The 25,805-nt window shown below is 39.7% G+C and overlaps 1 long non-coding RNA gene across 1 annotated transcript, besides 6 other annotated features; it reads left to right on the top strand.

The window, feature by feature from the left end:
• Positions 5,980-7,179: an enhancer, noted in NCBI's record as "P300/CBP strongly-dependent group 1 enhancer chr11:27955621-27956820 (GRCh37/hg19 assembly coordinates)". NCBI's record gives its function as "activates an origin of replication core promoter dependent on BRD2, BRD4, P300/CBP, MED14 and CDK7 cofactors, with strong dependence on P300/CBP, by STARR-seq in HCT116 cells {active_cell/tissue: HCT116}" and the evidence as "EXISTENCE:reporter gene assay evidence [ECO:0000049][PMID:35650434]".
• Positions 5,980-7,355: a biological region, named in NCBI's record as "P300/CBP strongly-dependent group 1 enhancer GRCh37_chr11:27955621-27956820".
• Positions 6,854-7,355: an enhancer, noted in NCBI's record as "OCT4-NANOG-H3K27ac hESC enhancer chr11:27955445-27955946 (GRCh37/hg19 assembly coordinates)". NCBI's record gives its function as "activates a minimal SCP1, AML or CMV promoter by ChIP-STARR-seq in naive H9 embryonic stem cells {active_cell/tissue: H9 hESC(naive)}" and the evidence as "EXISTENCE:reporter gene assay evidence [ECO:0000049][PMID:30033119]".
• Positions 6,937-7,231: a silencer, noted in NCBI's record as "tiled region #8898; K562 Repressive non-DNase unmatched - State 24:Quies". NCBI's record gives its function as "represses a minimal TATA promoter and a strong SV40 promoter by Sharpr-MPRA in K562 cells {active_cell/tissue: K562}" and the evidence as "EXISTENCE:reporter gene assay evidence [ECO:0000049][PMID:27701403]".
• LOC124902653 (uncharacterized) lies at positions 11,124-16,892 on the top strand. The gene is made up of 2 exons (XR_007062634.1): positions 11,124-11,282; positions 16,746-16,892. It is a non-coding gene; the product is annotated as an uncharacterized LOC124902653 (long non-coding RNA).
• Positions 24,139-24,418: an enhancer, noted in NCBI's record as "active region_4547". NCBI's record gives its function as "activates an Ori minimal core promoter by ATAC-STARR-seq in GM12878 lymphoblastoid cells {active_cell/tissue: GM12878}" and the evidence as "EXISTENCE:reporter gene assay evidence [ECO:0000049][PMID:35858748]".
• Positions 24,819-24,898: an enhancer, noted in NCBI's record as "active region_4546". NCBI's record gives its function as "activates an Ori minimal core promoter by ATAC-STARR-seq in GM12878 lymphoblastoid cells {active_cell/tissue: GM12878}" and the evidence as "EXISTENCE:reporter gene assay evidence [ECO:0000049][PMID:35858748]".

Genomic DNA, 25,805 nt, shown 5'->3' with positions numbered 1-25,805 from the left:
TTTTAATTGGATCATTTAGTCCATTTACATTTAAAGTTAATATTGTTATGTGTGAATTTGATCCTGTCATTATGAGGTTAGCTGGTTATTTTGCTCATTAGTTGATGCAGTTTCTTCGTAGTCTCGATGGTCTTTACATTTTGGCATGTTTTTGCAGCAGCTGGTACCGGTTGTGCCTTTCCATGTTTAGTGCTTCCTTCAGGAGCTCTTTTAGGGCAGGCCTGGTGTTGACAGAATCTCTCAGCATTTGCTTGTCTGTAAAGTATTTTATTTCTCCTTCACTTACGAAGCTTAGTTTGGCTGGATATGAAATTCTGGGTTGAAAATTCTTTTCTTTAAGAATGTTGAATATTGGCCCCCCCTCTCTTCTGGCTTGTAGAGTTTCTGCTGAGAGATCTGCTGTTAGTCTGATGGGCTTCCCTTTGTGGGTAACCCCACCTTTCTCTCTTGTTGCCCTTAACATTTTTTCCTTCCTTTCAACTTTGATGAATCTGACAATTATGTGTCTTGGAGTTGCTCTTCTCGGGGAGTATCTTTGTGGCGTTCTCTGTATTTCCTGAATCTGAATGTTGGCCTGCCTTGCTAGATTGGGGAAGTTCTCCTGGATAATATCCTGCAGAGTGTTTTCCAACTTCGTTCCATTCTCCCCATCACTTTCAGGTACACCAATCAGAAGTAGATTTGGTCTTTTCACATAGTCCCATATTTCTTGGAGGCTTTGTTCGTTTCTTTTTATTCTTTTTTCTCTAAACTTCCCTTCTCGCTTCATTTCATTCATTTCATCTTCCATCACTGATACCCTTTCTTCCAGTTGATCGCATCGGCTCCTGAGGCTTCTGCATTCTTCATGTAGTTCTCAAGCCTTGGCTTTCAGCTCCATCAGCTCCTTTAAGCACTTCTCTGTATTGGTTATTCTAGTTATACATTTGTCTAAATTTTTTTCAAAGTTTTTAACTTCTTTGTCTTTGGTTTGAATTTCCTCCTGTAGCTCGGAGTGGTTTGATCATCTGAAGACTTCTTCTCTCAACTCGTCAAAGTCATTCTCCATCCAGCTTTGTTCCATCGCTGGTGAGGAGCTGCATTCCTTTGGAGGAGGAGAGGTGCTCTGCTTTTTAGAGTTTCCAGTTTTTCTGCTCTGTTTTTTCCCCATCTTTGTGGTTTTATCTACTTTTGGTCTTTGATGATCGTGACGTACAGATGGGTTTTTGGTGTGGATGTCCTTTCTGTTTGTTAGTTTTCCTTCTAACAGACAGGACCCTCAGCTGCAGGTCTGTTGGAGTTTGCTAGAGATCCACTCCAGACCCTGTTTGCCTGGGTATCAGCAGCGGTGGCTGCAGAACCGCGGATTTTCGTGATCCACGAATGCTGCTGTCTGATCGTTCCTCTGGAAGTTTTGTCTCAGAGGAGTACCTGGCTGTGTGAGGTGTCAGTCTGCCCCTACTGGGGGGTGCTTCCTAGTTAGGCTACTCGGGGATCAGGGGTCAGGGACCCACTTGAGGAGGCAGTCTGCCCGTTCTCAGATCTCCAGCTGCATGCTGGGAGAACTGCTGCTCTCTTCAAAGCTGTCAGACAGGGACATTTAAGTCTGCAGAGGTTACTGCTGTCTTTTTGTTTGTCTGTGCCCTGCCCCCAGAGGTGGAGCCTACAGAGGCAGGCAGGCCTCCTTGAGCTGTGGTGGGCTCCACCCAGTTCGAGCTTCCTGGCTGCTTTGTTTACCTAAGCAAGCCTGGGCAATGGCGGGCACCCCTCCCCCAGCCTGGCTGCCGCCTTGCAGTTTGATCTCAGACTGCTGTGCTAACAATTAGCGAGACTCCGTGGGCATAGGACCCTCCGAGCCAAGTGCGGGATATAATCTCCTGGTGTGCCATTTTTAAACCCGTCAGAAAAGCGCAGTATTGGGCTGGGAGTGACCCGATTTTTCCAGGTGCCATCTGTCACCCCTTTCTTTGACTAGGAAAGGGAACTCCCTGACCCCTTGTGCTTCCCGAGTGAGGCAATGCCTCGCCCTGCTTCAGCTCGTGCATGGTGCGCTGCACCCACTGTCCTGCACCCACTGTCTTGCACTCCCTAGTGAGATGAACCTGGTACCTCAGATGGAAATGCAGAAATCACCCATCTTCTGCATTGCTTACGCTGGGAGCTGCAGATGGGAGCTGTTCCTAATTGGCCATCTTGGCTCGAATCCGCGACAATGAATTTTCTATTTCCAGTTTTCTTGTTCATATCTAAGGACTTTCATTACAATACAAAATTTAACTGCAAGACAAAACATAATTTATATCATAGTGGTTCTCAAAGGAGGCAATTTTGTACCATGGGGGCATTTTGGAAATTTGTCGGGATGTTTTGGTTGTCAAATTACTGCAAGAGGCACTACTGGCATTTAGTGTGGGCTGGGACCAGGGATTCAAAGTGAATTTTAATATGTGGGCCACTTAGGAAGAATTGTTCTCTGTCTTGTAGGACTTTTGAATGTCCCACTAAGCCATCATATAGGTAAATCAATCAAACAGTCTACTTAGAGTTAATTGAGTTTAAAATTGAGCTGAATTTTACATATTAACATAGGGTGTACACCGAATTTTCCAGCAAGGCAACTACCATGTGAATAAAAAAGACTTCTGTATCCTGTGTAGAACTTTACCAAGAGTAGTTCACCCTTTGAGAAAAATCACATCATTGATAGCAACACACCTTAGGGAATTTGAGTTATCAATACCACACCTTCTTATCGGTCTGCATTTGTTGCTGTCACATTCCTAGATATTTAATGTATAAGTTATAAGTGCAAGTGTGTGATTACTTCAGTAGATGTTCTGGTGTAGTGGTAGCTAAGCGTTTACATATTGAGATAGATGTTAATTTATTTTAAATTATTTTACTTTTATTTTATTTCTGTTATAGTTAAGGTATAATATGAATCTTTTTTGAAATTTTATGGGTAGGTAGCCTACATTATCTATGACCTTCATTTTAGGATGATAAAGGAAATGTTATGAAATGTTGTTTATAGAAAAGAATCACTCTGTCTGATATGCTTGGAATGCTCTGACGTAGTGGAGCTAGTTGTGGACTCCTATTTTCTGTACAAAACACTACTAATTGAGACTGTGCCTGCTAAAAGTTGAAATCGTTTGATTTGGCTGAAGTTTACTACTAATTGCTAATAAAAAATAATTTGCTGATGAATTGAATGGTATAGCATTTCCTCCGACGAGTTTTGTAGGACTCTAGTTCCAAGTGAATGGATAGTTATAGCCAAGGAGAATATAAGACAATTTCATAGTAAAATTACTTTGGGAAATGGTTGGAAAAATAAGCTAAACAGGGTTCTTTGCTTCAGGAACTTCTCGTAGCCTTTAATATGAATACACTGATCTGCAGTATATGTCTCCAAGTGGACAATCAGCATGGTATGTTCATTTGACCAAGGAATATTTGGAATTATGGCATATTCTTTAAAAAGCAAACTTCCTAAAGGACTTTAACACATTTTTGTTTTAAAGTTAACAGGTATTGCTAATTACCAATGGATCTTTATATTGAGGAAATTATGTGTAACAGTGTTTTCACAATGATACAGTTCTACAAATGCAAAGTGTTATATACAGAGAGCCTGTGGTGAACATGGGCTGTTTTTGTCTGGCCAGTGCTCTTCCTTTTCTTCTGGTAACTGTGTCCAGTCCCCATCTTTTTGCTTTAGGGAGCTGCATCTTCCTCTTTTCTACCTGTAATTCTGATGGGACTTCATGGTTAGGCACATGACCCTAGTCTGACCAGTTGCAGTTTCAACCCCTTTGGCTATAGAGGTAGGTCTAGATTTTTGGCATGTTTCAACTGTGGACCAATCAGAATCCATTCCCTGGGATGTTTTTTATACTAAAATTGGGTAGAAGAAAATCCCTCCACCTAAGCCACAATACTTCAAGATGGAAGGTTGAAGTTACCAACGGATGGACTTCCCACCATGGGGAAAATGCCTTCTGCAATAAGTGAAAGTCTTGGCAGCACTGGCCTGGTTGCTGTGAGTTGATCACTCAAGCTAGTGTGATCTTCACAAGCCCCTCTAAGACTCAAGCACTTTGTTCATTAATAAAATGGTACAAGATACCTGATCTGCTTATCCCTCAGACTGTTGGAGGGTACAAATGAGACCCATCCTAATTTGCCCCCAGCATATACTGTAATACCTGTTTTGCCAGTAAAGCAAGTCCATTCCGAGCATTTATTTGTCAAAATCACATATGCAGATGTGTTTCACTGGAGCCAGTTGGAGTTTCTGAAGTTTGTATGTCAGAATGGATTACTTCTATCCAAATGAAGGAAGGACTTATACTGGCAAGATACAAAGAGGAAGACTAGACTTTGTTTCCAAATTAGTATGGTCCCAAAATCACTACCATCTCTACTCCCCTAGAGAAAAAAAATATGTGTTCATAAAAAAAAAAAATCTAAATTCTGACAAACCTTTTCAATAAGAATCTATAGATCAGACAAATTCTAAAATCCTTGGTAGCTAAGAATATGTTTTGGGTTTTGTTGTTGTTGTTGTTTGTTTGTTTGCTTTTGAGACAGAGTCTTGCTCTGTCACCCAGGCTGGATTGCAGTGGCGCGATCTCGGCTCACTGCAACCTCTGCCTCCTGGGTTCAAGTGATTCTCGTGCCTCAGCCTCCCAAATAGCTGGGATTACAGGCCCCTGCTACCATGCCCGGCTAATTTTTGTGTGTGTGTGTGTGTGTGTGTTTAATAGAGAAGGGGTTTTGTCATGTTGGTCAGGCTTGTTTCTAACTTCTGACCTCAGGTGATCCCCCTGGCTCAGCCTCTCAAAGTGTTGGGATTACAGGCGTGAGCCACTGCACCTAGCCAGTAGTTTAATGCACTCCCCAAATGATACTCATGATTGCTGAATTTTTAGGTCCACCATGTTAAGGGAAAGAGCACCAGCAGTAAATTGAGATACCTGATGTCCATTTATAAGGAATCAGTTAACTAAGAGTACACAGAAAGTTCGAAGTCAAACTCAAATGTATAGTTCATAAAATTGTGTGATATATTATTAAGAAAAAACCTTGCAGAACAGTATGTATAATACACTTCCATTAAAAATTATGTTGGCATAATTATGCATGCCAACAAAAATTATGCATGGCATAAGCATAGAAAAATTGGACGGCTCTACACCTAACAGTAACAATTATTGTAGAGTGCTTACAAGGCACTATCATCTCATATATGTCTATGGTGCTTGAGTGTTTATGGTAAGACTGTGTTACACATGTCATCGTGAGACATTTATAAAGAGTCTATCATCAATCTATCCATCTACTTACCTATCTACCTACTTACCTACCTACCTATTGCTGCAACCATCCGTCTCTGTGAAAGAACACCAAATTGGATTTCAGATTTAAGTCCTCGTTGGGCTTTCAACTAATAGGGCTACAGGAAAGCAATGTGATGGTTAAGAACTTGATCTCTAGATTCAGAAAGACTTGGGTTCCAAACCTGACTTCATTACTTATATTAGTGACATGACTTAATTCTCCTTATTTCACTAAGTGTTTGTTTTCTCATTTGCAAAGGAGGATAAAAATACCTACCTCACCTTCCAAAAGCCTGTAACCCCAGTCCAATCATGGAGAAGAAGATCAGACAAATTCCAATAAAGTGGCATTCTAAAAAAATACCTAATTGGAGCTCTTCAAAACTGTCAAGGTTATCAAAAACAAGGAAAGTCTGAGAAACTGTCACAGAAGAGCTTAGGTAAACATGACAACTAAATGTAATGTGGTAACCTGGATGAGCTCCTGACATAGAAAAAGGACATTAGGTAAAAGCTAAGGAAATCATTGGAATGAAGCATGAACTTTAGTTAATAATAAGGTAACAATAGTGGTTCATATATTATAATAAAAGTACTACACCAATGTGAACTATTAATAATAAGATAAACTGGTTATGGAGTATATGGAAACTTTCTGCACTATCTTCTCCATTTCTCTGTAAATATAAATCTGTTTAAAAACATAAAAAAGACAATTTCCTAGAATTGCCATGGGGCTTAATCAATACAAATGTTACAAATTAGTACCTTGAAGGCACAGAATGGGGGCCTAATAAACAGTAGCGATTACTATTATAATCTCATGTCTCTGTTTTCCTCATTTCCTATCTCTAGCCCATGGGGATTGGACTCAACACGCTGTAAGATCTCTTCCAGCTCGAAGATTCTGGGCCTCTGTAGCTTAAATTCCTGAGGCATGATTCGCTGAATGTGAGTCATATTCACCATCCTTCCGGCTTCTGTGGATTTGTCTCAGTGATGCCGTACCTTGCTATTTACTTTCTTCATTCTCTGGCTGTATGAGGGACTTACAATCATTCCGCAGTTTCTTTCATAAAATGATTGAGACTCAGAATGACTAGCCACACACATTCCCCACAAAAGACCTCCAAGAGTTTCCAACCAGATCCAGATTCTGACATCAGAGGGGCTTCTACTGTCCCTACCACAAGCGTCTGTGTATCTATGACTGTGATAAGGCCCCAGAGAGGACAGAGAGAGAGAGAGGGAAAGGGCCACCAAAAAGTGTTCCAAGAAAGAAAGAACTCCCCCTTCTCCTCTAACTAAACCCAGTATCCTCAGGCAGGGTTCCTATCTGTGTGTTTTAGGACTGCTTCACATCCCATCAGCTCTCTTGGAACCTAATCGTTTGCAGGGCCCCATCAGCTCTATCCAAGCAGAGAAATTACGCGCAAGCTGAAGTGTGCATGCTCTTCTGTGTGGCCCCAGAATGACTTGAGTCTACTGAATGGAATTTCATACATGTGTTGGGTGAGGTGATTTATTATAGGCGGTAATGGAAATTAATTTCACTTTGAACCCTGTGGCACCAGAAAATGCCTAAGTGCTGAGCCATTTTCTTTAAGTAGGCCGTAAAGCTGCTACTTGCTTCTGACTGGGCAGCGAAGTGGCGATGATCACTTGTAAAACAATGAGCTTGAATAGGAGGTTAATGGGCCCTGGCCGACCTCGTGCAGCCTGCAGTGCTCATCCTACCAGCCCCTGCAGTCACGGGACTCAGTCTTCCTGGCGCCACAGAAAACAGAGATGCTGGAGCAGTATTTGTATGCTAAAGCAGAGCCAAAGAAGGGGAGAGGGAAACATTCCTGGGGAGCCAATGACCGTGCTTTGACCATGAGTGTTTGGCTGAAAGTGGTGGCCTTGTCCCTAGAAGTTCCCTTAGTAGGAAGCAGAATGGCTCAGAGCTATAAATGGGCCTGAGGAGATCCTGTTTCTAAAGACGGCCTCAGTAAAGGCTCTTACTGCTTAATTTGAGATACAGAGTATTTTCCAAGACAGCTTCTGGATTCTAAGGCTTGCCATCATGGTCTTCTGATTTAAAGTTTTATAAAGGCATTTTAGTCACTATTGAAGGGCACAAAATTCAGGGACCGTTCTAAGGCCTCCAGTGAAGCCATTCCACAGAACTTGTTGTTACACCACAATTACAAATTTAGGTAGAAGATCCTTCAGGGAGACGATCCTTCTGGGAGATGGGGCTCCTCTTGTAATTCATACAAAAGCCACACATGTGCTCACAATATTGAAGGAGCTATTGCTGTGTAACGTCATGTATTAATATAAATACATATATGTAAAAATTAGTTATTGCTTATTTCCTCATTAGAATTTTTTGTTTAATACCATATTAGATTTGTTTGCTACTATAGAACTTAGATGGCTGGCACATAATAGACCTTCAATACATTTTTTTTAAATGAATGAACTATAGAAAGTATTTTAGTGACTATAAAAATGGACAGGGCACTGAACGGGTCTTTAAATAATTTCCAACTTATTAGAGAAAGGAAGCATTCATTTTATTTATTCATTTATTAATTTTTTCAACAAATACTTAATGCATGTTATACTAAGTACCAGGTGATATTCTGGGATTTAGACAATGAATGAGATCCATTCTGGGTTCCACCTAATGACTACTAAATTGGATTATCCAGCTGTAAGTCTCAGGAATCAGTATTTTCTAAATATCCCCAACCCCCAACAAACAATTATATAGAACAGCTGGTTTGAGGAGTCTCAACCCAATATCACATAGGACTGTCAGAGGTGTTTAAACCAGAGCAACTCCATCTTGAATAGAAGCTGAGTAAAGCAAGGCAAAGACCTACAGGACTGAATTCCCAAATGGTTAGGCATTCTAAGTCACAGGATGAGATAGGAAGTTGACACAAGATACAGATCATAAAGACCTTGCTGACAAAAGAAGTTGCAGTAAAGAAGCCATCTAAAACCCACCAAAAGCAAAATGGTAATGAGAGTGACCTCTGGTCATCCTCACTGCTACACTCCCACCAGCGCTCCCACAGTTTACAAATGCCATGGCAACATCAGGAAGTTAACCTATATTGTCTAAAAAAGGGAGACATGAATAATCCACCACTTGTTTAGCATATTATCAAGAAATAACCATAGAAATGGGCAACCAACAGCCCTCAGGGCTGCTCTGCCTATTCTTTTATCCCCCTACTTTCCTAATAAACTTGGCTTCACTTTATGGATTCACCTCAAATACTTTCTTGTATGAAAGCCAAGAACCCTCCCTTGGGATCTGGATTGGGACCCCTTTCTGTATCATCTTTCTCATGAACCCCAAAGAGATAAAACTGAAGAAACCCCCGATCCAAAGGAAAATCATCTGCACACACAGATTGGCTGACTTTGGGTAAGTGGGGTGCATTTACTGGGGTAAAAGGGGTTGGGTTAGAGGCCCAACTTAGAGGAGTTAGAGTCCCTCCTAAAACAGACAGGATTAGAGGCCCCTCTTAATAAAAGACAATGATGCCTGACCAAACCTGGGTTGGAAGCCCAACTTAGAAAGGTTAGAGTCCTTGCTAAGATTTAAGGGGTTAGATGCCCCATTCAGTAAGGTCCCTTTTAGCTAAGAATGGGTTTGGCACCAGGGGATGTTAACTGCTATGCTCTTTGTATTAACCTGCCTTGTCCTTTTTGCTACATGAATCAATTTCTTGGTTGCTGTCTCCGTTTCACTGTCATTTTCTGGAGACTTCATTTAACTAGCCAGTTATGTCCTTGGGAGCTTGACCTCGTAACCATGTGGTGGTGCTTTCTCTTGATTTCTGCCATCTGGAGGACAGGAATTTTGGGGTTCATGTGAGTAACCCTAAAAATTATCTTGAGCAGTTAAAGGCCTTTGAAAGCTCAAAATTAGCTGCTGTAGGCTCCTGGGAAGGGCAATGGAAACTGCCCAGTGCTGTGGCTCAGTGGTTAAGACTTCACCATTTTATAGTGGCAGCCTGGGTTCAATTCCTGGCTTAGAGAATAACTCCTTTCCTATTTGATATCTGTTTGACCCTTACCATTTGATGATTCTCTTCCCCTCCATGAACCATCTTGAATTTTTCTTTCTCTGAGCACAGAAATATTGGCTGTTTGGCCTGGCTAAAGTTGGGTAATAAGAAATTTAAAAGGACTTTTTAAAAAGAGTGCTATGGTTAAAAGTCAGCTTAATGAAAAGTGGATATTCAAGTTCTAACAGCGTGGGACACCCTGGGAAAAACAGGAGGTGCTACAGACCCCGTTTTGGGAAAAACCTCTGTTTTCCTCATGAAACCACAGAAATCAGAAGTGGATAGATCCCTTTCAAAATCCTAAGGCTTTCTTCTGTTTTGCATTGTGTTATCTGATGTTTTTGAGTTTTGGGGGTGTCAGAAATTACTTCGCATTGTGAGAGAGCTTTGGTGTGTAATAACTAGGTAGGAAATATGCTTTTGGGGACAGCTAACAGCAGTTATGGGGGATACTCAACTTTTCACACGTTTGGATCAGAGAAGCATGTTCTTGGCCACCTAGAAATATGGAGATGTCCCCACCCCTCACTGAGAGATAAGTCTTCCATGGGATGGGCTGATTCCCTCTTTCTGGGATCCAAGATTTGATATAAATATGGAACCCTTCATTGGGGGGATCTGTTTTGCCTTTCAGCTGGGCCTGCTTGCTGTAGAAACTGCATGCTTTCCTGGCTCTGTTCCTCCTAGGGCTCCACCCTGAAACCAGTAATCCAATTAAGAAACTGGCAAATGAAATATCTTACGAGTACTAGATCTCCTTCTGTCTTTGTATTGTTTATATATGAAAGAGATTTGATTGGCTTAAAAATAATAAGTGCTTAAATCACATATTTTGTCAGAAAAGTAAAAATTGTTATGCTTTTTAGTCCATGTGACTTAAATAATCTTTGGGAAAGAAAAGCAATTTTATATGCAAGGAGTGTAAGGACAATGAAATGTGTTTTTGGTAAAAGATTATAAGAAGTCATGGGAATGTGGACTTTTTTGCCTAGTTTAAAGAGGATTGCTTTAAGTTAAAAAAGACAAAGCTGAAGGTTTAAGCAAGTTGTGGAAGGTTTGTGAAAAATTAATTGTAAAAGCAATTCTGCGTGTGGACATATTGGCTAAAATTAAAGGGGTATTATTCAGTTTTTTTCCATTAATTGAAAATTGGAATAAAAGTACAACAGGTTTTTCTTAGCACTGATCTCTTTAACAAAAACTTGTAAAGGATTATAAAAGGCTTATGAAGAAGAACATTAAAATTGGGTAGATATGTCTACAAAGTTTTATTAAGGATAAGATTTAACATTAATAGTATACTAATCTAAAAATAACATTTGGCTTATTTGGTATAAAAGTCATACAGGAAGTATAGTCAAATATAAAATGGTGCTTGGCTTTCTTTGGGGTTTATTTGTATAAATGTGTTCCAAAATTATGAGAAACTCCTATATTTCTAATATGTGTTTTTAATAGTTACAATTGTTACATAAAATCTTTTTGGTTTTTTTGCTTAAAATGTTGCAGATCCTTTGTTTTTCAGAGTCAAGAAAACTTTTATTTTTAGTTATTTACAGCTTGTAGCAATTGAGTAAAATATACTCCTATAAACAAAATTTGGAGCATTTGTATTTCTCTCCACCTGATTTCTCCAGAATTTGGTAACTAGTTGTGAGTATTCTTAGCTTATGGCAATATAATTATTTGCATAAGTGTAATAAGGGTCTGTTTTCATTTGTCACAGGACACAATTGGAGAAACTGATTATTTTACCAAGGCCTTGACTGGAATGGTATGCTTCCCTTTAAGGAATCAAACTTGACTTGTAGAGCCAATAGAAGCCCCTTGGGAAAACTGACCTCATACCTTGTCGACACAATCCCTGTGCAGGGTTCCCGATCTGGTAAGTCAAGAATGTCACTTTCTAACAGGTCCAGGAGCCCAAGTTACCTTTAATTTACCCAAGAGGAGAGGAATTTACCCAACTCATATAGGTATTTGAGGGTAGAAACCCATGGCTGGGCCTGGCTTTAAAAACAGTCTTATCTGAGGTTCCTTATGGAACAAAAGTTCAATCAAAGCCAATTAAAAGAAGCCTGTGTGGCAAATAATTATTCTTGCTGCACTTCATACAAATAATCAGGCCAAGTATAATAAAACAAATTGGTCTTACCATTATTTGTCTTTAGTAAACATGGGAGACTGGGGAGAGAAAAATTATGTTTCAAAAACTATGTTACACCTGTTATTAGATTCTAGTCTCAGTTGTTTTTTAGTTTTTGTCTGCAGTTTAGACTAACCCTGCTTATTTCTGTGAAACAACCAGTAATCTCTGGCTGCTGCTCAGAGGTAACAAGAGGGTTGGGTAATGTAAAAATCTAAACCAATATTCTAATTCTGGGCTCATTTTGGAATCAGCTAGTGACTCCATATCAGCTTGGTTCCAACAGTTGCCCAGTTCACGGAAAGCTTTTTAATTTCATTTACTTGGGATAATTTTACTTATTTTGCTTTACTGTTGTGGAATGTATTGTGGTTGTACATTTTGTGTAGGAATGCAGCATACGCTTACTAAATGTTTTCTTAAATACTTATTATTCTTCCAGATATTACCTTTTGTTGGAACTTAAGAGTTATGAATGGCCCTCACCATACTGATGCTTTCTGACTGAGCTGCTCTCTTCCCTGAATACAAGAGACTCTAATAGTTAGGCAGGAATATCATTACCCCTATTCAGCATGAAGAAGTTATAGAAGATGGATCTGTGTCCCTCTGCAGCCCTTAGGATTAAGCGTTCTCCTATAAAAGGGAGGGGGGTAATAATCAGAGGCATTTAAACCAGAGCAACTCCATCTTGAATAGGAGCTGAATAAAGTAAGGCTAAGATCTACTGGGCTGCATTCCCAGATAGTTAGGCATTCTAAGTCACAGGATGAGATAGGAGTTTGGCACAAAATACAGGTTATAAAAACCTTGCTGATAAAACAGGTTTCAATAAAGAAGCTTGCTAAAACCCACCAAAAGCAAAATGGCATTGAGAGTGACCTCTGGTTGTCCTCACTGCTACACTCCCACCAGCGCCATGACAGTTTACAAATGCCATGGCAACATCAGGAAGCTACCCTGTATGGTCTAAAAAAGGGAGGCATGAATAATCCACCCCTTGTTTAGCATGCAATCAAGAAATAACCATAGAAATGGGCAACCAGCAGCCCTCAGGGCTGCTCTGCCTATGGAGTAGCCATTTTTTTATTTTTTGACTTTCCTAATAAACTTGCCTCCACTTTATAGATTCACACTGAATTCTTCCTTGCGTGAAATCTAAGAACCCTCTCTTGGGGGTCTGGTAAAAATCATGCTTGCATTTTTATGTATGAATTTTCTCTTTCAACCATTCTACATCAACTTTTGTTTTTCTCTGAGTTGTAGTTTCCATTGTCTGTTTTACTTTTTTATTTGTAAAAGAAAAACATAAAAAATATGTATAATCATAAACTACCTCAAATCCTTTAGGGAAAGATACAAGGCATAAAATTGTACAAATAAAAGTGCATTTTTGGGCGGTGGCTCACGCCTGTAATCCCAGCAGTTTGGGAGGCTGAGGCCAGCGGATCATGAGGTCAAGAGATCAAGACCATCTTGGCCAACATGGTGGAACCCCGTTTCTACTAAAAATACAAAAAAAATTAGCTGGGCTTGGTGGCATGCACCTGTAGTCCCAGGTACTCGGGAGGCTGAGGCAGGAGAATCACTTGAACCTGGGAGGCGGAGGTTGCAGTGAGCAGAGATTGTGCCACTGCACTCTAGCCTGGTGACAGAGTGAGACTCTCAAAAAAAAAAAAATGCATTTTTGGTCTATTTGTAATTACATCACATGAAAACAGGTGACCAAATTTTCACCAAATTTGGAGAATCCATTTGTGATCACTAGATCTCAAATAGAAGCATTATGCTTGTTTTACATGGAATTTACTTCAGAGGATCATAAGGAGTACTTCAAAGAGATGGACAGTTATCCTCCTGAGGAGCTAAAACAGAGGTGCATGAGCCTAAATTATTGACCGACCATAAAAGATGTACCATGGATATTAAGATGTCATGGTCAGAGGTAACAAACCTTAGTTTCAAATTTAAGTCCCAGATTGAAAGTCAGAAGCACAAGACCCTTCCAATGGCTACTTCTCCCACAGGCAATTCTCTGTAATAAGTATTAAGTTAAATAGCAGGAATTAATTACTTAAATGAAAATTAAATCACTAATGATCTATTTCACAAACCTAGGAATTAAAAAATAAAATAAAAAACATATTTTGGCAACTTTAAAGGCACAAAGAACACTGACAAAAAAATGGACCATGTAGAGTAAGAAGTTCATACACACTAAATGCAAGGCAGAGACAGATGGGTGAAACTAATGGAGCTTAAGCTTCAGGGCTCGTTTGCATTAGTCCCTTCCAAGTCTCTGGGGAGAGCTCTAGGAATGTGTTTATGTGGTCATATGTCTTGTTAATCTGCAATACTTTACACTCAACTGCACTCAGTCAAGACCACTCTGTCCCCCTCCAAAGTTCCTGTTCCCGTACTCCGCTGCATGTCTGGTATTATTGGTAACTGGTAAAGCCACAGGCATTCTAGGGACCTTAAGGGCAAGTTGAACTGGGGGCACAATAAACTTGAGATTGATGGTGGATCTTCATGTGGTTTACAGTCACTTCCCTATATGGTTGAGTTACAGTTAGCTATCCTGGTCTAGAGATAGCTTCCAGGAATAACCCTATTGCCTTCTGTGCTGACTCATCTGGTGTGGTAAAATGAAGGCATAAGGCCTGAGGCCATATCGTGACATAAATGTTTCCTGTGGCACTCAGCATCAGCAGTATGTGGGGAGTGGTGGAGAAACAAGGTTTGGAATGTATAGAGCCAGGAGCTGGTCTGTGGAAAAACCTTCCAAATTTAACAACTTGATAAAATTTTTTCTAAATTTGACAATTCTAAAAATTTACATGATGAAAGCTAAAATGAGTTGCAAAACTGAAGGAAACTTGCCTAAACTATCAATATTTTTGAGATGTTTATATTAACTGTGCTCCACAAAAACCACATCCAACCTTAACAATGGGGTGAAGCCACTGGTAGAGACGTTAGTGCCCCTTACCCTGCATAGAAGGGGAAGGCTGGAAGAGCCTAGACTTGGAGGAACCAGGCTCTCAAGTGTCTGACAGCCCCTAGGGAATGCCGCAGCAGCAAAGGAGAAGAGACTAGACAGCATTTTTGCAAAAGTGGACTCTGTATTTGGGAACTGGGCTTTTTGAAAAGTGAGGGCCTGGGAGTGTCTTGACTCTAACTTACCATGTGAACATTTGAGGATGAAAAGTTTAGTGTGTAGCTTTCTAGTAGAGAAGAACAAGAAAAAATGTGAAACATTGGGTGGAGGGAGAAGGAGGCACTGTGCTTTCTTTGTAACATCTTCTGTATTCTGGGAGAAAATGATTCTCTCAGCACTAAGACGTGGTCACCTCTACTTCTTTAGCAGAAAATTATATGTAAACCGAAGAAGGGAAAGCCTATGTTTCCCAGGCATATTTGGATCTATAATTATTTGAGGTCATGAACCCACTTATGAAAATAAATGGCCAGTGGTTCTTCCTTAACATAATTGGGTTAAGAAAAGAAAGAAGCTTCTGGTAGAATTGCTCTTCCAGCTTAAAACTACATCTGGAGCTGTTAGGATACTGAAAGCCAGCCCTCTCTAGCTGCTTTTGCCAGAAGGTAACTGTATTAGTCAGGGTTCTCCAGAGACACAGTACCAATTATATATATATATATATATATATATATATACACACACACACACACACACACACACACACATATATATACATGTAATATATAAAGAGATATATATATATATATCTCTAAAGAGAGAGATTTGTGTATTTATCTATTATAAGGTATTGGCTCATATAATAAAGGAGACAGAAGTTTCATGATCTGTTGTGTGCAAGCTGGAAACCCAGGGCAGCCAGTGATGTAGTTCATATGCCTGAGAGCCACAGAATCAATGGTATAGATTCCAGACTGAATCTGAAGGCCTAAGAACCAGGAGTATAGAGGGTGGGAGAAGATCGATGTCCTAGCTCAAGCAGTCAAAGTTAATTCAGCCTTCCTCCATCTTTTTATCCTATTCAGTCCCTCAGTGGATTGGATGCCTGATGGCCATTCACACTGGGGAGGGCAATCTGACCTACTCAGTGCACCTCTTCAAATATTAATCTCTTCTGGAAACACCTTCACAGATGCACCCACGATAATGTTTAACTAGCTATCTGGGGAACCAATGGCCCAGTCTAGTTGACATCAAATTAACCATAATAGTAATCCAGCTGGCAGGCTTCTTCCCTCTTTGCATTGGAAGCCGAGGAATGCTCAGAAGGGCCTTTCTGGTCTTCTTAGTCCAAAAAGACTTCCATTCTGGAATGTCTGGGCAGGAGTTCCAATCATAGATCTTCATCTCAGAAATCACCTGTGGCTTTCAGAAATGAAGCTGTAGTACAAAATGATCAGCTCTGGAGCCAGGCAACCCGGTGGGGGCCCCGCCTCTGCTACTTTCTAGCTGTACAACCTTAAGCAAGTTATTAACTTCCTTGAACCACATTTTCCTCATCTGAAAGTTGCAGAACTCTTATGCAGAAGGTGGTGCCTGGCACTTGAAAGCATTCAAACATTTGTTAGTTCTGCATTACCTCATCTACATCTCCCTCCTCAGTTTTTTTTTTTGGATGGAGTCTCGCTCTGTTGCCCAGTCTGGAATGCAGTGGCACGATCTCGGCTCACTGCAACCTCCGCCTCCTGGGTTCAAGCGATTCTCCTGCCTCAGCCTCCTGAGTAGCTGGGACTACAGACACATGCCACCATGCCCGACTATTTTTTATATTTTTAGTAGAGACAGGGTTTCATCATGTTGGCCAGGATAGTCTCGATCTCCTGACCTCATGATCCTCCTGCCTCGGCCTCCTAAAGTGCTGGGATTACAAGCATGAGCCACCACGCCCAGCCCTCACTTTTCTTTTATCATAGGTACTTAGACTCTTCAAAATGTACCTTCTCCCAATTTCATACTTTGGATTTTAAATATGGTGGCTGAGCCTCCCTGATGGTTTGGATCTGTGTTTGGACCCACATCTCATGTTGAAATGTAATTCCCAAGCTGGAGATGGGCCCTGATGCGGGGTGATTGGATCAATGGGGTGGTTTCTTGTGGTTTAACACCATTTCCCCTTGGTGCTGTCATTGCAATAATGAGTGAAATCTGGTTGTTTAAAAGTGTGTGGCAACTCCTCCCTCTCTCTCTTCCTCCTCCTCCAGCCATGTGAAGTGCTGGCTTCCCTTTGCCTTCCACCATGATTGTAAGTTTCCTGAGACATCCCCAGATGCCAAGCAGATGCCACCATCACATTTCCTGTACAGCCTGTGGAACTGTGAGTCAATTAAACCTTTTTTCTTTATAAATTACCCAGTCTCAGGTATTTCTTTATAGCAGTGCGAAAGCAGACTAATACACTGGTCTTTGGTATAAATGGCCTCTTTTGTGCTTTGCCCATTTAGAATTACCACTAGAGATAGTGCTTCATTAGGAAAAGAAGTGGCCTCACTATATCATATAGCTCAAATTTGAAAAATGTATGGACCGACTTTAAAGGGAAAAATGATCTCATGAACTTCCAATGTTGACAAATTACTTTTGGTAGCACGTTATTTAAATATGTACAATATGAAACTAAACATAAACTCCACATGCTTCTACTTCTCAATGATGTATAAATAGAAGCACAATTTGTTTAAATATAAGCAAACTATAAACGTAGTAAAATGTAAGTCAACACTAACATTAATATGACAAATTAAGTTATTTTGCTGAAACTAAACGGCCACTCTTTATGTTGTGGTGTATGCTTATGTGGTGTATGCTAATTTTATGTGCCATATAATTACTTCATTCTCTCACCACTTTTTGCTATTACAAGTACTACTAATCCTTTGTATGATGTGCTGTGGTGGTGTTTACCCTTCACATGGTACATAATGATTAATGTACATATTAAGTCTGCAAGCCTTTGTTAATAGCTGGCTATAATTAAATTAGTACTATTTAATGACACTACCAAACATTTATATATTTACTTATTATGAACTAAGCATTGTTTCAATATATTAATTTATTTAATCCTCCTAACATTCCTATAAATAAGATATTTTAATTTCTTCATTTTACAGATGAGGAAATGGAGGCATAGAAAGACAAAGTAATTTGCCCAAAGTCACACATACAGTAAATTGCTGACTTGGGATTCCAAACCAGATGACATGAATCCAGTATTCTTATTCTTAACATACACTATTCTTTTGAATACACTATAACATAGACATAAAGTGAACATGGACATTTAAAATACATGGTTGAAAATACGTGGTAGTATTCTGTTGTAAGTACTCCGTGACCACGGAAATCATCTAGAATATGTCATATTGCTTTTACTTAAGAACGCTATGGAAATAAACATTTTTTTCTAATTTCCCTATAGAACCCATGGAATCCTGAGAATATATCCATAGGAGTTTATAAGGTTAAAAAAAAAAGAGGAAAACCATTGAAAGAGATTGACCTATAAATAATGACCTTCAGCACTGCTCAGGAAAACTACATCTCCAACTGTAACAGCACCTCCACTTAATCTGCTTTATTTTCTTAACTTCTTTTGTTTGAGAAAGCAGGATGTACTGGGTTTCTTGTTTCAAGGGGTCTCAAGCTAAGGATGGATGACAATTTAACAGAGATATCGTAGCAAGGATTCATGCATTGGCAGGAAGGTTACCCTAAATAATCTCTAAAGTATCTCCGTCTATGAGAAGCCATGATTTTATGAAAGCGTGATGGGCCCTAGGGCTAGGAAGAGAAAACAAGGAGGTGAAATTAGCAGAAACTAGTTGCTCAGAAAATTGACAATGAGTAGTTGATCCTCAGACCTTCTGAGCTGTAGACAACAGGGTCTCAGAGGAAAGGCCCTGTAGAGCTGGTGCTCAGACTTCTGAGGAAGAGGCTCCACTTAGCTGTTGCTGGTACCTCTGTCGGGGCAGCACAAGGCTAGTCTGGAACTACCAACAGAAGCTGGGTTTATCTTAAAAATTCAAATTTGGTTTTACATTTGAAAATCAATCAAATTTATTCATCACATTAGTGAACTAAAGAGAAGAAGCCATTTGATTATCTCAATAGACAAAAAAGCATTCAACAAAATCCAACACCTATTTGAATATATAAAAATATTAGGCTAACATCAAAATTAATATTGAAACAGTAAATTATTTCACATTCAGAGCAGGAATAAAGCAAGGATGTTCTCACCATTTCTATTCAACAGTGTACTGGAAGTCTTAGCATGTGCAATAAGAAAAGAAAAAGAAATAAAGAGTTTACAGCTTGGGGGAAAAAGTAGTAAAACAAAACTGCCTTTATTCACAGACAACATGATTGTGTGCATAGAAAATCCTAAAAATCTACAACAGAGCTGCTAGGACTAATGAGGGTTTTAATGAGGTCTTAGGAAATAATATCAATATATAAAATTCAACTATAATTCTATATACTAACAAAAAATATTAGGCAATAAAAATTTTAGATGGTATGTACAGTAGTATCAACAAATATTAAATGCTTCTAGATAAATTTAACAAAATATGTAGAAGACATGTACAATGAAAACAGAAATACATTGCTGAGAAATTAAAGACCAAAATAATTGGAGAAAAAACATGTGTTTATGTGTTGGAATAATTCATTATTATTAAAATGCTCATTCTCTCCAAATTGAATCATAGATTTAACACAAATTTAACCAAAATACTAGCAAGGTTTTGGGAAATGGATATGCTGATTTTAAAATGTATATGAAAATGTAAAGGACCTAGGATAGCAAAAGCAATTTTGAAATAGAAGAACAAAATTGGACCTGAAGTCTTACTTAATTACTGTAAAGCAACAGTAATCAGGACAGTGTGGTATTGACATAAGAATAGACATATAGAAAAATGGAACAACAGAAATTCAGAAATAGAACAACACAAATATGGTCAATAAATTGTTGACAAAGTGCCAAGGGACTTTTCAGTGGGAAAAGCTTTTATGACTAATGATGGTGAAACAATTGAATAGCCACATGCACATGCAAAGCAAACCCAATGGTGTGAGGACTCTTACCTCACACCATACACAGAAAATAACTTCAAATTAATCATAGACTTAAATGTAAAAACTAAAACTGTGAAACTTTTTGAATAAAACATAGGAGGAAATGTTTTCAACTTTGAAATTTCTTAGAATGGAAAAATTAATAAATATGGACATCATTAAAAGTAAAATCTTCTGCTCATCCAAAAATCCAAAATCAGCAAGAGGAAAAGAGAAGCCATGGACGAGAAAAAAAAGTTAATACATGTATCAGACAAGAGACTTATATTCAGAATATATAAAGAATATTGATAACTCAATGATAAATAACCCAATTAAAAATGGGCAAAATATTTGACCAGACATTTCTCCAAGGAATACACACAAATATTCAGTAAGCACATGAGAAGATGCTTAACATCATTAGTCCATCAGGGAACAGTGAAATTCAAACCACAGTGAGAGACTACTATATACCCATCTGAATGGCTAAAATATCTAAAAACCCATAATATTAGGGTTAGCAAGGATATAGAATGACTTGAACTCTCATTCATTATTGGTGGAAAAGTAAAATGGTAAGTCCATGATTTAAGAACATAAAAATTCGTGCATAAGTAAAATGCTTGAAAAAAAGTTTGCTAGGTTTTTTTCTTTCTTTTTTTTTAACAAATTAAGAATACGCTTACCATACAACCCAGCAATTCTACTCCTAGGTATTTATCCAAGAGAAATAAAAACAGATATCCATACAAAGACTTTTACACTAATGATCATAACAGCTTTACTTACAGACAAAAACTGGAAATAAACTAAATGTCCATCAACAGGCAAATGAATAAACAAATTGTGGTTATTTAAATAATGGAATGCAATTTAGTGATAAAAAGGAACAAACCGTATATGCATAACATGGATTACTCTCAAAAACATTACGCTGGCCAGGCACAGCGTCTCACACCTGTAATCCCAGCACTTTGGGAAGCCAAGGCAGGTGGATCACTTGAGCCCAGGGTTCAAGACCAGCCTGGGCAACATGGTGAAACCCCATCTCTACAGAAGATAGAAAATAAAAAAATTATGTTGAACAACAGAAATTTGGCACAAAGGAGTGCATATTGTATGATGCTACTCACATGCAACTTTAGAACTAGCAAAATTAATCTCTTGTAACAGAAAGCAAATCAGTTTTTGCTTGTAAATAGGGAGTAGAGACTGACTGCAAAGGGACATGAAAGAACTTTTTGGGTTGCAAGAATTGTTTTATATTCTTCCCTGTGTATCTGTGTCCTAATCGCCTCTTATTATAAGGACAATAGACATATTGAATTAGGGCCCACCCTAATGACCTCATTTTATCCTAATTATACCTATAAAGCCCCTATCTCCAAATATAGTCACATTTTGAGGTACTAGGGTAAGGACTTCAACATCGATTTTGAGGGGACACAATTCAGTTCATAACACTTATACAACCCCAAATTTATTTGTATGTAATGAATTTATAGAGGCTATAATATTGGTGAGGCCTGACTGGGATGTCACAGGAGTCTCAAAGAATTATTGGCCAAAAAACTGTTTCAGACCAGTCATGGTGGCTCACACCTGTAATCCCAGCAATTTGGGAAGCCAAGGCGGGAGGATCACTTGAGCTCAGGAAGTTGGGACCAGCCTGGGAAACATAGGGAGACTCCTTCTCTACAAAAAATTTAAAAAATTAGCTAGGTATGGTGGCATGCACCTATCGTCCTAGTAACTTGGGAGGCTGAGGCAGGAGGCTCACTTGATCCCAGGAGGTTGAGGCTGGAGAGACCATGATTATGCCACTCCATTCCAGCCTGGGAGACAGAAGGAGACCCTGTCTCAAATAAACAAGCAAAAAAAACCTTGCCTCCATGCTGTGGATCATAGCTTAAATTTAAAAAATTGAGCAGATAGAATGGGGAGGCTGGGTTTGGGGGAGAGATGGGTGAGAAGATAGTTGCTTGAATGGCAAACTTTCAAAAAAACTATCAAGTGATAAAAAAATCTTTACTTGTTTATTTGTGTCAAGAATTTGGGTACTGTATTATTTAGATTTTGAGAGTTTAAGAGTAGTCTTTCTATGATTACCCTGTTGTAAGAAGATTTGGAGAACACACCTTTCTGAACTGCAGCTTTCTCAAATGTTTAAGGCTGACACTGCTGAAGTTACACCTGCTTGAACGGTTTTTTTCCGAAAAGGAACTAAAAAGGTTACACTTATATTTCATGGCATAAATAGAACCTTTCAAAAAGGTGTTTCTTCTTCAAGAGAAATAATATAAAGATAAAAATCATCTCAGATGTCAAATGAGAAACCCAATGAGTTGATTTCCTGTGACAACATTCCCATGGAGGGAAGAGGGAATGCATCTGAGGAAAAAAAATGGGGCATAGCAGTATAAAGGAAATCTCTCTTTTATTGATAGTCTCTTCAGAAATGGGTACAGATAAATTCACCCTCTTAGAAGAATAGTTTGGGCTGAGCAATTACCTTTACAGCAAGGTTAAGCAATGGTGAACTCTACCTTTAGAATGAAATCATTAACAAAATCCTCTCTGAACCCTGAAGTATGCTATTTAAGACCAATTAAGATTTCTCAGCCAGTGATATTAATCCTCTAGTAACTTTGAAAGAGCATTAGCAAACATGCATGTGTATGTGGGGATGTTCGATGCTTCCCAATAGCTGTTGGAAAGTAGAGAAAAATCAGTCCATTCTGAGACACAGCAAGAATACAGAAGACACCTTCACCCTCATTCCCACCACAAATCCTAGAGTCCCAGTGCAGCTTGCTAGGAAGCATACTTGAATAAATGACCTGCTAGGCTTCCTGACAGAGAAAAAAACAGGGTGTACAGTGAGATGCCTGTGAGTATCTGCACCCACTTGGTGGGAATTTCCATGCTTAGAGGAGCACAACATTAAATAGCAAACAAAAAGTACCATGACAGATTGAGAGGGAGAACATAAGACAGAAAAAAGAAAAAAGAGTTACAGTTTAGTACATTTTGTGATGCTTTTTTTTTTTTTTTTTTTTTTTTTTGGATGGGGTCTCTCTTTCTCATGCAGGCTGAAGTGCAGTGGTTCAATCTCGGCTCACTGCAACCTCTGCCTCCAGGGCTCAAGTGATCCTCCTGCCTCAGCCTCCCGAGTAGCTGGGACTAGAGGCACATGCCACCACACCCAGCTATTTTTGTATTTTTTTTTGTAGAGATGTGGTTTGCCTTGTTGCCCAGGCTGGTCTCACACTCCTGGGCTCAAGCAATCAGCCTGCCTTGGCCTCCCAAAATGCTGGGATTACAAGTGTGAACAACTATACCTAGCCAGTTTAATATATTTAACAATGCTTTTTTTCCTGCTTCTTGGACAAGAGGCCCTTTCATTTTGCACTGGGATCCTCAAATTACATAGCCATTCCTGCATATTTCCCTGAAGAAGCCAAGGTGGTAAGTGCCTTTCAGAGAACAACCTGAATTCCCTGGCTGACAGGCAAGTGCTCGCTCACCTGTTGGTCCTGGGACTTCTCTCTGAGGTGGATCCTGCGTCTGAATCCAGACCCCTTACCCAAACTCCTACATCTGTATGCATTTCTGTAATCCTCCTCTACATCTTTACTGCCTGCCTGGCTCTAGCCCCTTTACATTTACTGTCACTCTGGTTTGTTCAGTTGGTTCATATTTGTCTTTTAATCTGGGAGCTCACCATTCTCCTTTCTCTTCAGACATTTGTAAAACATTTGGTGTAATGGAAAGGATGTTATATTTAGAGTCACATGTCCTGAATTTAATCCTGGCTCTGTTATTCACTAGATGTATGAACTTGGGTGATTTATTTAAGCTTCCTGAGCCTCAGTTTTGTGATCTGTGAAATGGGAAGATAAATCCTGATCTCCAGTTCCTTGATTACCCAGCCAGGTGGGGCATCTAGAATTAAATCCTGGCATCTTTGCAAATCAAGTCAGTACTTCTATATCTGCTTTACTAGACATGATCAAAGCCTTTGTCACCATGTTCTTTAGGTCAGAAAGTGTATCTGAGCTTCCCATTCTCTCTTCAAATTCTGGTATTCCTAACCATTCTCCTACTCTGCCTCCCGTGGTCAGCATGTAGAATCTCCCACTCATTATATTCCTACCCAAATGACCCATGGTAAGGACAGTCTGGTAGTATATTGATTTTGGTTTGTCCATAAGACGTCTCTCCTTAGATAGCCATTCAGTTCCATGAAGTGGAAGAGGCAAAAAGCAAATGATGTTTCCCCTGGATTCACTTTTCCCATCCCAAATCCTTGCCTAGCTCAGATTCCCAGGCCCTGCCAGGAACTCAGACCCCAAGCCTCTTCTTTTCATGAAGAGACACTCAATGTCATTACTGTGTTTTCCTTTTGCACTTTCTGCCCAACCTCCTTGTTACCCTTGGCCTGTGTAGACAAAAGACATGATGTTTAATTATATCATCATCTTCATCTTTGTAAAAGTAAAAATTTTGAAACAAGTATTTCACCAGAAGACATATATCCAAGAAGCACCCTCTCCTAATGAGCTCAGTGCTAGAGATGGTGGCGGCATCTTTCTCCTCCCCTGGGAATAGAAGCCACAGCCAGGAGGCTGTACCCATGGTTTTATAGGTGGGGAACCACAGGCATCAAGATGCTGAGTGAAGCTCCTGGAGATCAGAGAGATTTTGTGAATGAGGCTCCAAACGTAGGCTGGCTTACTTCTCTCATGGTTTTACAATGGAGGGGATTTATGTCTTGGCTTTTCCTGTCAGAAGCCTCCAAGTCATAATATGATGATGGGTCTAATCCCCGGGGATCTGCGTATGAAGAGAGAATGGTTTTGGCCATCCTCCTCCCCAATCACATCTCTGCTTTACAGAAAAGGCAGTGTTCTCAAGTTAGGCAGGATTCGGAAATGAGGTGTGCACCTGGTTGCAAAACCAGCTAGGGGAAATCCGCCTGATTATGGGTTTTAAGAAATGACCTTCTTGTGGTTTTGGCTCTCAGCTGAAAAATCCCACAAGTTAATGGGTCAAGATTATGTGTAGTCTTTTGACTATATACAATAAGATGATTCTAGGAGAGAATAATCACAATCTTCACTTTTCTTGCCTCACACAGGGCCTGCCACATTGTAGGTACTTACTCAAGAAATCTGAGTTCAAAGAATGAATCTGTTCAGTCTGGTCTGAGAGACAAGACAGGGAGACACTTGCAGTGAGGAACAAAGGGCCCTGCCAGGGACTGAAGAATCCAAGAGTATTCAGCTACTTGGAAGCTTTTATTACCTACTTTATCCACCTATTCTGCCATAAAGGCTGTGCCCCCTCCTTTCCATCTCCATTACCACTTCCTTAAATAAGGCCCAAATAATCCCTTGCCTGGGTCATTGCAGCATTCGTCTATTCATCTATTTTCTTCCAGCACTGACCAGCGTCTTCTGCCATTCCTATGCTCCCTTCAAACTGCCACAAAAGTGATGCTTCTGAAATGCAAGGCTAATCCTTATTCTCATCTGATTGCAACCCTTCAGTGACTTCCTATTTCCCATTACAGGGTTCTTAGTCTTTTATCGTAATACCCAGCTCCTCATATGACCTGCTTTTTAAAATCTCAAGCCTGCCACAGTTTGAATATGCTCCATAGGGCGGTCTCCTCTCTCCTTTTTCTGAAATGGCAGATCGTCAGTTCCCTGAAGACAGAGAACAAGCATCAAGAAGAATTTGCTTGTCTTTATGTTAGCTAGTGTGCATTATCAAAACAATGGGAATTTACGATATCAAAAGTGCTTTGAAAAAAATATACTGCCTGATATGATTTGGCGCTGTGTCCCCACAGAAATCTCATGTTGAATGATGATCCCGAGTGTTGGAGCGGGTGCTGGTGAGAGGTGATTAGATCATGGGGGCAGTTTCTAATGGTTTAGCACCAGCACCATCCACCTAGTGCTGTCTCATGATAGAATTCTCATAAGATCTGGTTGTTTGAAAGTGTGTAGCACCTGGCTGGGCATGGTGGGTCATGCCTGTAATCCCAGCACTTTGGGAGGCTGAGGTGGGCAGATCACCTAGGGTCAGGATTTCAAGACCAGCCTGCCCAACATGGTGAAACCCCATCTCTACTAAAAATACAAAAAAATTAGCCAGGTGTGGTGGCAGGTGCCTGTAATCCCAGCTAC

This window comes from Homo sapiens, chromosome 11 (assembly GCF_000001405.40).
Source record: "Homo sapiens chromosome 11, GRCh38.p14 Primary Assembly".
Lineage (NCBI taxonomy): Eukaryota > Metazoa > Chordata > Mammalia > Primates > Hominidae > Homo > Homo sapiens.
Note: the sequence above shows the minus strand (reverse complement) of the source record. Positions and strands in the feature narration are given on the sequence as shown.